Raw genomic sequence first — 12,774 nt, 5'->3', positions numbered from 1 at the left:
AAAAAATGAATATTCTAAGGAAACAATGAGAAAAAACAATGAGAAAAAAAATAAGGGATAAAAAGGCTTGTACGGAGGATACAATACAGTTACATAAGTAAACCTTACCCAAGTATCTTAAAGGCCATGGTCTCAGAATCTCATTACTCCACAAAGGGCATTACTAAAAAATTATTGTCAGAAATATCTTAGCAAACCAGTGCAGTTAGAGAAAAAACCAACTTACTGTATACTGAACACATCCAAACTGTAAATGAGCCATTACTTAGAGTTTGGATTGAACTCAAGTTCATTAGGCTTAAATGACCTTGGCAAACTTATAAAAATTACCATCAACTTTGAACAATTATTAGATGCCTAATTGCACAAGGCAGTGGATTCCTGATTTAAATAGGTCCAATTAGGAAACATGCGAAGAGGAGCCGCTCATGTGGAAAGTGAGACCCTCCCGAGGGTGGAGTCCCTGACACTTTGCAGAAAGAGCTGTGGGGGCAGCAGGGCAGGGCGGAGGTATCAGGAAAAGTTGAGAACAAGCTCGGAGGGCCGGCTGGGAAGCCGACTGTGGGTCTCTCTGGAGTCTGTCTCCCTTTGCTTATGCTAAATTATTTTGGAATTCTGGGCTTTCCTCTCTTTATGTTTTGTTTATTTATTTAAAAGAACAAAGGAAAAACAGAGCTAGAGATGTCAAGCAGAAGTCCATTCTTTCTCAGGGTGACAAATTGCCTTCACTTTCCTCCTTTCCTAGCAACATAACCCCATGACTGTTTCTTTTTGATTTCCTTAGGAAAACAATCTTTCACTTTTTATATTTCAGGGTTTTTTTTCAAGACAGGGTCTTGCTCTGTCGTCCAGGCTGGAGTGTAGTGGCGCCATCTCGGCTCACTGCAGCCTCCGCTTCCCGGGTACAAGTGATTCCCGTGCCTCAGCCTCCTGAGTGGCTGGGATTACAGACATGTGCCACCACGCCCAGCTAATTTTTGTATTTTTAGTAGAGTTGGGGTTTCACCAGGTGTCCCAGGCTGGTCTCAAACTCCTAGCCTCAAGTGATCCACCTGTCTTAGCCTCCCAAAGTATTGGGATTACAGGCGTGAGCCACCATGCCCGTCCGGAAACAATCTTTAGCTTGCTAGAATTTAATTCTGTTTTAGACCCCATATGAAGCCCCTCTTGTGATCATCCTAATGTTCTCATTATGTATTTCTCATTAAACAGGTATATCCTATGCTTTGGCTTGAATGTTTTTCCCCTCCCAAACTTATATTTGAAAATATTAATTGAAAACAAGCTTGTAGATCAGGCTGATCCTCTCAACCATCCTTTAGCATTGGGAGTACTGACGATATCATTCCCATTTCCTCCACCCCCAGCACAGCAGACATAATGGCAGTGATCAAATGCTTGCTCAGGGCCACTGGGGTAGTGTACTAGGGTGAGGACTTGGGTGGGGCCAGGTCCCTGGATTCTACCACCTGTGCTGCTTCTCCTCTGACCCACCCCATCTTCTCCAGGACACCAAGGGATTTGTGTTGCTGCTTTAATTGCTTAAAAAAAAAAAAAAAAAAAAAACCTGGATGGCTGCAACATGTATAGGTCCCCATTAGTTCATTCTTAAAACAAAAATAGGCTCTAGAATTAATTGCAATATAGTTGGCCTTTTAATCCCTCACAAAATAAATGCATTTTGACTCAAATAAAGCAATTTATTTATGCATCAGTGAAAATGTAGATGAGGGCAGTGGATTTCAAACTTCTTTAGCAGCCCAACTTTTGTACACACCTAAATACATGGATAAAGGCATAAACAAATTAGATAGACTGATGAAAATGGCCTGTATTGAGAAAAGGGGAGGGGCTGGGTCCATACTTCTACCTATCTGTTTGGTTCTCCACTGTCACACCCTGGTGGAGAAGCCACTGCCTCACTCTAGTTGAGTTTTCCCACCAGGGTTATATAAGGCTGAAACCAAGCTCGACAGAGTTGCAGCAATGCACAAATGGTGAAATGGTGAGGTCTGTATCTGTAACACACACACATGCACATAGACACACGCACACGTCTTGATATTTATGGGTCTTGAATATCAAAGGTTGCGATGAATTTAGCAATGCTCTTAAATGAGTTGATATAAAATGTCAGTGCCGATTCCTTCTTTCAGATGTGTTCGATCTTGTCATACTTGTATAGAGATAGCCAAAATTAGGCACTAAAATCACTTCCATGTGTTTTCCCTCTTCCTGCCTGTGTTTGGAATTCCCACATACGTCATCTCTGTGCCTTCTAGAACTAAGACCCCCATGAAGAGTACTTGACTGTCCACCCATTTGAGGGCAGCTTTATTCAGAGGCCAACATAGAGAGTTAGAGGACAGATAAAGCAGTCCCTCAGAGTGATTACAATGCCTGCAGAAGTCGTTTTTCCCACAACCCTTGTGCTTTAATTAAAAGTGAGCAGCAAAGTTGCCAGTGCAGCATTAGGAACATAGTATGAAGTGAATGCAGAGAGTGAACTTATTGTAGTGTTGCTGGATTTTTAGAACAGGGGAAGCTAAACATGAAGTGAGTTTCATATCAGGGAAGAAACTTGACCAAAGAAAATTCCTAGTTAATTGCTTGCTATTTGCACTGTCTCTTAATGTCTTGCAACTGAGCTTTTGTTTCATATGTCTTTGTAAACTTCTGATGATAAATATCTCCATTAGAATATATTGTATTCTCCTAAAGACTCCAAATTATGGAGAAGCTGTTCTAAATTTTATAGAGCACACAGATCCCTTTGAGGTTAGCTATTTGAGAGCCTTCTGCATGATAATAGGTGCAGTTTGATTGAAAAATACCTACTGTCAAAAGCATATGTGAGGTCATAACTTGTTGATCTCAAAGTCCTGTGAGGACACATTTACATGACAGTCAAGCCTTGGTGCACAAGACTGTTAGTTAGTATGCAGGAGGCACTTGGCGCCTACAATGACTGCGAGACTCCTTGAAGAAGGATGGGGCTTGGAGTGTCCCCCAGGGCTCTGCTGCCCACAAATCAGGAACCATTGCTCCAGGAAACAGAAATTCTAGAATGTCTGGTTTCAGAGTTAATTTTCCATTAAGAGAGAGAATTTAATCTTCTGATGTTACCATACCCGTTTATTCATCATGATAACAATATGACCAAAGAAGTAAATATTGCTGCAAATCTCTTCTACTAGAGTGATGTGATACAGTTAAAATATGTTACCATTAAAAATGGCAATTACACAGTAAGCAGGCCAGATAGGAAGCTTGGGAAAGCTGATGCATTTTAAGCTTATAGCAGTTTACTAAGAACAAAAAGTTCACATAATTATTCTAAAAGTGGACATAATTTTGTTTCTTGCTTTGAACTTCCATAGGAGCCGTAGCTAGGATGTTGACTCAGGGTTCTATGAAGTGTTTTGGAGAAAAGTTAACAAAGTAGGAACAGGGTGCCTGTATCTGATGATCTGAATCAATTTTGGTACAGAGCTTAAAAAAGAGGGGAAATAGGCAACCAAAACCTCCACTGGGCTTTGTCAGGAGCGTCATCAGCCATGTATGGTTGGCATCCACAGAGAGAAACTCAATACAGGCACCCCAGGGGCCAACTGAGAGGGGCTCCTCCTGCTTTAGATGTGCAGCTGGGGAGGACGCTTTGTGTTCATTCATTCCATTCATTCAGCAGTCATTTGGGGTTACAGCAGTGAACACATCCAAGTTCCTGCCCTCGTGCCACCTAAGTTCTAGTGATGTGTGGGGGGGATGCGGATATACAGCAAGCAAATAAACAAGTTAGTGTAGATTCCACATCATGCTGTGTGTAGACTTCACATGGCATCATGTGTAGACCCCACATGGTGGTGTGTGTAGACCCCACATGGTGTTGTGTGTATACCCCATATAGTGTTGTGTGTGGACTCCACATGGTATTGTGTGTAGACTATATATGGTGTTCTGTGTAGACCCCACACAGTGTTGTGTGTATACCCCATATAGTGTTGTGTGTAGACTCCACATGGTGTTGTGTGTAGACTCCACATGGTGTTGTGTGTAGACTCCACCTGGTGTTGTGTGTAGACCCCACATGGTGTTGTGTGTATACCCCATATAGTGTTGTGTGTAGACTCCACCTGGTGTTGTGTGTATAACTGACACAGTGTTGTGTGTGGACCCCTCAAGGTGTTGTATGTAGTGTGTGCACTCCACATGGCATTGGTGCATGGAGAAAGGAAGCAGAGCAAGGAGAAGGTGACTTGGCACAGGCTGGTCCTAGGCACCTCCTGAGAAGGTGGCATTTGAGGAGAGACCTGTGTTGAGTAAAGGAGTAAGCCATGCAGCTCTGCAAGGGAGGGGAGTTTCAGGAAGGGGCTGCGCCATGTGCAAAGGCCCTGAGCTGGGAGCTCGGGGGCCCACAGGATGGAGCAGAGTGAGGGGAGTGGAGGGAGGTGAGTTAGAACGTGGGGTCAGAGGGGTCTCTGGGCCATGGTAACAAGCTTTCTGAGTGACATGGGGAGCCAGGAGAAGCTTTTAAATAGGAAACGATCTGACCTTTGTTTCAATAACACCACTTGGGCTGGAGGGGTGCACATGCTGTGTCCATGGCACTCACACAGCGAGACTTTCACTCTGTCTGGGAGGGAATTCAGACCATCCCTTTACAGAGTCATAGACATACCTCCAGCAACTCCTGCATCTCCTTTTCCCAGCCCAGAATCCATCCACGGGACTGCTGCCCTGGGGCCAGGACATGGAACAAGAGCCACCTCCCCTGCTGGCGGTGTGTGTGTGAGGGGGCCCTGCCAGCGAATTAAACCCAGGCTCAGCCTCTGGCTTTTGACTCCCTCCCTCCTTCCTCTTTCCCCATACCATGAGAAAATACAGCATAGGGGTTAAGAGAATGAGCCCAGGAGCCACGCTGCTCGAGTTTAAATTCCAACTCCACGAACGCTAGCCTGGCAAGTTACTTCATCTCTCACTGCTACAGTCTCCTCATCTGTGCGAGGGGTTTGATGCTATTCGCACTTCCCTCACAGGATTGTTAGGAGTTCAATGTGTCATCATATGCCCAGCATGGAGAAGACTACCTGGCTCACAAGAGTGCCACATGAGTGAATGCCACATGAGTGAGTGACATGGGAGTGAGTGCCACAGGAATGAGTGCCACATGAGTGAGTGCCACCTGGGTCTCAGTTCCTGCCTTTGTTGTTAATGTCAGCATCTCTGCCACAGGGATGGCTTTGCTTGGGTCTCCCTGCAATACTGCAGCCATCTCTGTGGGCCTAGGGTGAGGAGCCGGCCTTCTCTGTGGCCTAGGGTGAGGAGCCAGCCTTCTCTGTGGGCCCAGGGTGAGGGCTGGCCTTCTCTGTGGCCTAGGGTGAGGGCTGGCCTTCTCTGTGGGCCTAGGGTGAGGAGCTGGCCTTCTCTGTGGCCTAGGGTGAGGAGCCAGCCTTCTCTGTGGGCCTAGGATGAGGAGCTGGCCTTCTCTGTGGGCCCAGGGTGAGGAGCTGGCCTTCTCTGTGTGCCCAGGGTGTGGGCTGGCCTTCTCTGTGGCCTAGGGTGAGGGCTGGCCTTCTCTGTGGGCCCAGGGTGTGGGCTGGCCTTCTCTGTGGGCCCAGGGTGTGGGCTGGCCTTCTCTGTGGCCTAGGGTGAGGGCTGGCCTTCTCTGTGGGCCCAGGGTGTGGGCTGGCCTTCTCTGTGGCCTAGGGTGAGGGCTGGCCTTCTCTGTGGGCCCAGGGTGTGGGCTGGCCTTCTCTGTGGCCTAGGGTGAGGGCTGGCCTTCTCTGTGGGCCCAGGGTGTGGGCTGGCCTTCTCTGTGGCCTAGGGTGAGGGCTGGCCTTCTCTGTGGGCCCAGGGTGTGGGCTGGCCTTCTCTGTGGCCTAGGGTGAGGGCTGGCCTTCTCTGTGGGCCCAGGGTGTGGGCTGGCCTTCTCTGTGGCCTAGGGTGAGGGCTGGCCTTCTCTGTGGGCCCAGGGTGAGGGCTGGCCTTCTCTTCGGGCCTGGGACCCTGCCCAGCTCCTGCAGCCACTTCCCTGGGAGCCCCGCTTGGGGCCATGGGCTGCTGCCAGGCCTCCATCACCTCGAAGCGGACCTTGAAGAAAGCACTGAGCCAGCCCAGCCCTGCTTCTTGGGTGTCTGACTGCCCCTGGGGAGCCCTGCGGCAACAACCTCCTGGCTGGGTACCTGGCACTACCTGCTCCACTGAGGGGTCAGCCACTCCGGACCCTGAGCCTCGTGCCCTCCTGCACCGGCTTGAGTTTGGGATTGCTGTATTGTTTTGACCAGGACAGCCCCCCAAAGGGCCCTCCCTGGACTGGCCCAGATGGGGACCTGAGTGTCCCCACGCCTTTTCAGCACATCCCAAATGCCACTTTGTTTTCCTCCATGCTGAAGGCTGGCATGCCTCCTTTTCCTGGGTTTCAAGATACCTGATGAAGTCTTCAGAAAACTTGGTTATTGAATAGCATGTCTACTTCTTAGATGTTATTACCTTTTTGACCACCTGTGACATACTTTTACCTGATAATGGCTAGTCTAAATTCTGCACCTTAAACTATGGACTCTGGGCTCACCATGCACCCCGCGCCCCCCAGCTCCCTCCCTCACCCTCAAATCCCCTAGGTCCTCTCAGGGCCTCCTGTTCTCCCAGCCTTTCCTGTTCCCTCCTCCCTCCCAGCACATCCCAGCGCCCCTGCCTCCATTAACCCCAGGCCCTGCCTATATAAGAAATACCTGTTTAAAAAACAGCTTTATTGAGCTGTTTTTAAAATTAATATACAAACCTGCACTTATTTAATGTACACAGTTCGAGGAGTTTGATATGTTCATATCCATTGAGACCATCACCACAATCAAGATAATAAATGTACCTATTGCCTCCACAAATTTCTTTGTGTCTCCCCATTTTTTACTGTGTTAAGAGCACTAAGCATGTGATCTATTCTCTTAACACATTTTTAAGTGCACAAAGGAGATATAACCTTAAACCAGGGGCTTACATCTTGGCTCGGGTCCCGTAGGATGGAATTACCTTATGCCAAAGTCTACTGTAAAACTTTACCATGAGAAGCGGACACAGTTGGCTTTCAGAAGAAGAGCTTTAGCAAGCTTTCAGAGCATTGGGGTGCTTCACATTGGGGTGCAAGGACTCATTAGACCATGCACCACTGTGTCATTTTAACAGGCCTTTGTAAAATAACTTTTGCTCTGAGTTTTGAAGCAGCAAATGACTTTTAATCACATTGGAGAATTACGAAACAATCAAAATTGGTGCCTGAGCCATTTAAGCATCCATTGGCACAAGTGGTATTTACTAAGCATCTCTGGGCTGCCAGGCAGTGGGAAGTGCAAGGGACAAGGTGTTGTTCCTATGCTGTCGAGGGACTCACATTTTCCTAGGGGAGAGACCCAGGTAGACAAGGAAGCAAGGCTTTAACCGGAGTGTCAACAAAATGCCATGAGGGCCCAGAGGATGGGTGAGCGCTGGAGCTTGGCTTGGACAGGGAGGAGGGTTTACTTCAGGGAAAGGAGTGGGGTGGGGTGAAGTGGGGGTGAGACCGATGTTACAAGGCGTCGCCATGGCCTTCCTTCAAAGGCTGCAGAAACGGGCGTAGAACTCTGTGATATACAGCTGAAATTTGCCACGTATCTGCTTTGTCCTTGAGTCTGTTCAGAAGATCAGGGTTTCGGCCAGGCACGGCGGCTCACGCCTATAATCCCAGCAGTTTGGGATGCAGAAGTGGGCAGATCACTTGAGGCCAGGAGTTCAAGACCAGCCTGGCCAACACAGTGAAACCCCATCTCTACCAAAAATACACAAATTAGCCAGATGTGGTGGTGCACACCTATAATCCCAGCTACTCAAGAGGCTAAGGCAGGAAAATCACTTGAACCCAGGAGGCAGGAGTTGCAGTGAGCCAAGATCATGTGACTGCACTCCATCCTGGGCAACAGAGTGAGACTCCATCTCAAAAAAAAAAAAAAAAGAGCCAGGTTCTTAAGGGCTTCTTAGTCTGAGGTACAGGGAATACTGACTGTCATAAAACTCCACAAATTATATGTAGAAGTTTTCATGCATGTACATTTTCCTGGAGATTCCATACTTCAGTTTTTAAGGAGTGTGTGTCCCTAAAAGCACATAACTATTGTATCTGTGCAAGGCTGCTCCCCTCTGCCTGGGAAGCCATCTGTGGTGGTGCTGGTTGTCCCTGGACTGCTACCCAGAGACCCGGGCCTTGTTTGACCTTGGGAATGTTAAATCCCCATGCACCATTTTGTCCAAACAGCTCCCATTCTAGGCACCTAGAAAATATTGGTTGAAATGAACTGAATGCTTATCTAAGTTGTATTTTCATTTCTTCAACATACCCTGTATGACCAGTAAGAGCATCTTTACCCAACTCAATAACTGCCCCACTGGCATAAACGAGAAGGCGGGAGGCCTCCATGTGAAACCAGCAGGAAGTCTCCATGTTCCTGGTTGAGGTGCACCTCCCAACTCAACTAGAAAATGAACTTTTCTGGTAATCTTTGGGGAGTGACTAGTTCCCTCACACCTCACCAATAATGGAAAGCTGGAAAAGACTCATTGGAATAGACGCTTCCAAAAGACATCAGCAGAGTTTCTGAAAAGGCAGTAAAAGGGAAAGAAACAAAGAAATGAACATTGTTGATTACAAGGAAATTATTCTTGACATTTCACATAGCATAAAAAAAGAGGACCGTGCACAATAAATTAAACAATCTTCAGGCTCCCATTGCAAAGGGTCACTTTCAAATAACTTTCATTCCAGCTGTGTGTCTTTGGGCGAGTTCGTTAAATCTTCTTTTGGCCTCAACTTTCCCATCTTTGAGAGGTCAAGTCTCACATGGCTATGGTGAAAATCAAATGAGGTGAAGGATGTTGAAAGGACTTAGTAAAAGATCCAGTCTACACAAATCGGAGCTTCCATGGCCGTCATTAATACTGACCATCTTTGATAACTTTGCTGCAACCTATCTTGAAATCACTTGAGATGATAGTACTGCCTTCATGTCACCCACCGGCCACCAGGTGGACTCAGCTGCCCTGGCTTGGTGGCTGCATATCCAATTTCTCACTGCTTCCTAAGTGTCCTCCCGTCTCTAAGCCGCACCTTCAGAAGGGGAGAATGACTTTCCTGTAGAGGAAGACTGTTCCTCAGTCAGGTGGTCAGATGCAGTCCCCTTACCCTGTAACCTCTCTCCTCCCCTGTGTTTCAGGGCTCACTCATGGAGCTCATGGAAGTGGGCAGATGGCAGGTAGGGTAGAGGTTGGGGGTCGGGAGCTTTCCTCCTTCCCTAGGGCTCTGGCACAACTTCTCCTGTTCACCCCTTTCATGGAAGAGACATTTCCCCTGAAGTTCTACCCTTGAGTCTCCTGTCTCTTAACTCATGGTCTCCTGGGCAGTCTCATCTACTCTGTGACTCCGGCTCTTGCCCCCTAGGCCACTCTAAATGCCACCTCCTAATGTGCCCAGGGCTCCGAGGGAGTGCACGGTGCACAGCGGCCTCTCAGCAAATACCCCTGAAATGAATGCACCCTGGGCTTCCCATGCCTCCTTCTTGTCCCTGGACACACTGCACTCCCCCATGAGCTCCCTCAGATCCTTCCTCCCTTCCTTGCCCTCCCCAACTCCATGTTTCCCACCAGGGTTAACTCTGTCCTTGCCAAGCCCGATCCTGTGGGCCGTCACTCCATCCTCTTTCATGTTCCTCCCTTCAGTTTCTTTTTCCTCTGGTGACTTCTCGGCACCGATACTCTGCTCATCCATTCCTGGGCCCCCTGCTCTCGGGCCGCTCGGCACTTCTGGTAGACACAGCCCACCTGGTCTCCATTCCCAATGAGGCCATCTGCGGCTGCTCAGTATCTCCCATACCCTGTTCATCTCTCTCCTCCAAATGACCTGGCCTCCTGGCCTCCTTCTTAGTAAGTTAATGAAATTTCTCTCGCCACTCTTCCCTTCTTCCTTTGGGAACAGAGCGTGCATCTCCTTCTTCACTCAGGTGAGTCCCTCTGTCTGGCTCTGAATTCCATCCAATAGATCCAGGCTCTGGGGCTCCCAGTCATCCCCTCCTCCCGGTGTCTGTTGCTTCTTCTGTCACTGCCTCCTTCCCTTCAGCCTGTCCACCTGCTCTGTGGTTTCAGGTATTTGCACACACACCACAGCCAAAGGCACACACCTTTCTGGGACCCGGTTTAGTGTCAGGAAACCACCTTATCTCTTTGTGCTGCTTTCCATTGATTCAATGCATGTAAAGTGTTTAGAATAGATGATGGATATTAGTGAGCGACCATCATCATCATTGTAATTTTTGTAGCAAACATTCTTAAATGTTTGTCCAAGTTCACCACCTCCATTTCCTCCTCCTCCAAAAGCCCCTGAAATCTCAGAAGCCACAGCCTAGCTTTGATTCTGCCACACCCTGAAGGTATTCTGACTAAGATAATCACTGGCATCCCAGTCACCAAATCTAAAGGAGGATTTTGGCCCTCGTCATACTCTACCTCCCCATCAGCTTCAGATCCAGCTGGAGCCTCTCTCTTTTTTCCCTGAAATGCTCTCCACCTTCCTCAGATTGGGCAGCCCGTACCCACAGCTGACCCCACCCCCAAGCACAGCTGAGGCTCCTCCTCATCTCTCTGACCTTGAAAGTCAAGGTAATCCTTGGTCATCGTTGGAGTCATCAGGGCTCAGTCCTCTGAGCCCCTCTCTTTTCTGTCCTCACTCACCCCTACGGGACCTCATGCTGTTTCCTGGCTTTAGATATCATCTATATCCTGACCACTGGCAAATATACTCGCTGGCCCTGGCCTTCCCCTTGAATTCCAGACTGGTGCACCTGAGCTTCTCCTTGACATCTGCTGCTCTCGGACATTCAGTGGGCATCTGAAGCTCACCATGTTTGAATCAGACTTCTGATGTTTCCACCAAACCTGTTCTTCACATCTGTCTCCAATTTCAGTGAATTCTTCCAATTGCTTAAGTTTGGAGCGAACGTTCATTCCTCTCTACTTCTTACACCCCACATGAAACTACCTAGCAGATTATGTTGGTTGGCTTGAGAATCAGGTCACATTCTCCCCCCTATACTAACCCACCCTGCTCCAAGCCCCTATCAGCTTCTCCCAGCTCCCCACAATAGCCTTTTAATGATCCTCCTGCATCAGATCTAGCTCCCCTGCCCTCTCCCCTCTGCATTGCTATAGCCTTCTGTCAACATCAGTAAAATTAATATCAGTTTTGTCAGTTAAGTCAGCCACAGGGATCCTGTTACAATCAGATCATGTCATTCCTCTGAGCAAAACTCCCCCCTGGCCTCCAGCTCACTCCTTCCAGACCAAAGTCCTCATGACGTGCGAGGCTGTGAGTGGCCCTGTCATACTGACTCATCTCTTACTTCTCTTCCCCATTCCTTCTGTTCAAGCCAACTGCCCTATGCACTATGCCCTGAACACGCGACACACCCCTGCTTTGTGTCTGTGCACATTCTGTTCCTTCTGTTCCCGAAGGTATTTGCATGGCTCCCTCCCTGACTTCCTTCGACCCTTCATTCACACCTTCTTAGTGCATCCTTCTCTGGCCAGGGACACTATGATTTCACCCCTCCTCCCTTCACTACATAGCCACTTCTCCTCTTTGCTTTAAATATTCTTATACTAACACTTAATAGCTAACATTCTACGTGTTTTATTATTTATCTTGTATATTGTTGGTCTCCCCAGTGTCTTACTAGAATAGAAGCTTCATGATGCAGGGTTTTTTTTGACAGCTTTCCCACCCCAGAAATAGAAACAGAGCCCAACCCATAGTTGGAACTCAATAAATAGCTATACAATCAATAAGTGAAGATTCTTTTTAAAACCTTTTTCATATGCCCATCTTCTGCTCCATAGACTTTGGTGTCCCCTTATCTCATTGATATTTTCTTTAGGGTATTTTATCCATGCCCTGGGCTTCACCTGGAATGACACCATGTGATGGAGAGCAATATTGTCCCATAGCTTTTATTTCTTCCTGAAACCACACCCTTTTCAATACAACTTTGAAGCAGAAGCAGAATATACATTCTCCAGCCAACTGAAGATGGACTCAACTATGTGATTTGCTTTGGGAGTCTTAACAAACATGTGGAGCCTGAGTCCAGCCAAGCTTAGCAGCAATGAGCAGAGCCCCCACAGCTGACCATCTCACATGCTTCTGAGTTTGGGGAGGTAGTTTGTTATGCAGCAGTAGCTGACTGATACATATTTTAGTAACCCCCAGGTTCATTCCTGAGTCTAAGTCTCTATCCTGAGTTCAAGGTCCAAGTTCCACTTTTTAACTGCCTCCTGGACATGGGTCCTGAACATCTTGCAGGGATTTAGCAGCTGTCTTTCTCATCTTCCACCCCATTCCCAGCCAGCTCTGAATTAGCCAGGACACTTTAAATTATCAGGCAATTAATTGGCTCATTAAACTGGAAAGCCCAGTGGCAGGATAGACTTTGGGTCAGCAAATCCAGTGGCTCCATGCTGCCATCAGGGATCCAATTTGTTCCTGTCTGGCTGCTTGGCCTTCTATTGTGTTGGTTTCATTCCAAGGCTGGCTGCCTTCTTGGACCTAGGATGGCTGCTGTTGCAGCCTGGGCTTCTTTAAATACACACAATAGCCGGGAGGAGGTCTTCCCACAACTCTCAAGCTCAAATCTAGAGCTTTATGCTGGTTGGATCACCCTTGAAGTGAGCAGTGTGGCCAGGGGAATATCATTTGCTGAA

General features: G+C 47.8%; 1 long non-coding RNA gene across 8 annotated transcripts in view; it reads left to right on the top strand.

The window, feature by feature from the left end:
* COPS8-DT (COPS8 divergent transcript) overlaps window positions 1-12,774 on the top strand; it is a 175,051-nt gene that overhangs the window by 49,148 nt on the left and 113,129 nt on the right. The window lies entirely within an intron of this gene.

The sequence above is a fragment of the Homo sapiens genome, chromosome 2 (genome assembly GCF_000001405.40).
Source record: "Homo sapiens chromosome 2, GRCh38.p14 Primary Assembly".
In the NCBI taxonomy this organism is placed as follows: domain Eukaryota; kingdom Metazoa; phylum Chordata; class Mammalia; order Primates; family Hominidae; genus Homo; species Homo sapiens.
Note: the sequence above shows the minus strand (reverse complement) of the source record. Positions and strands in the feature narration are given on the sequence as shown.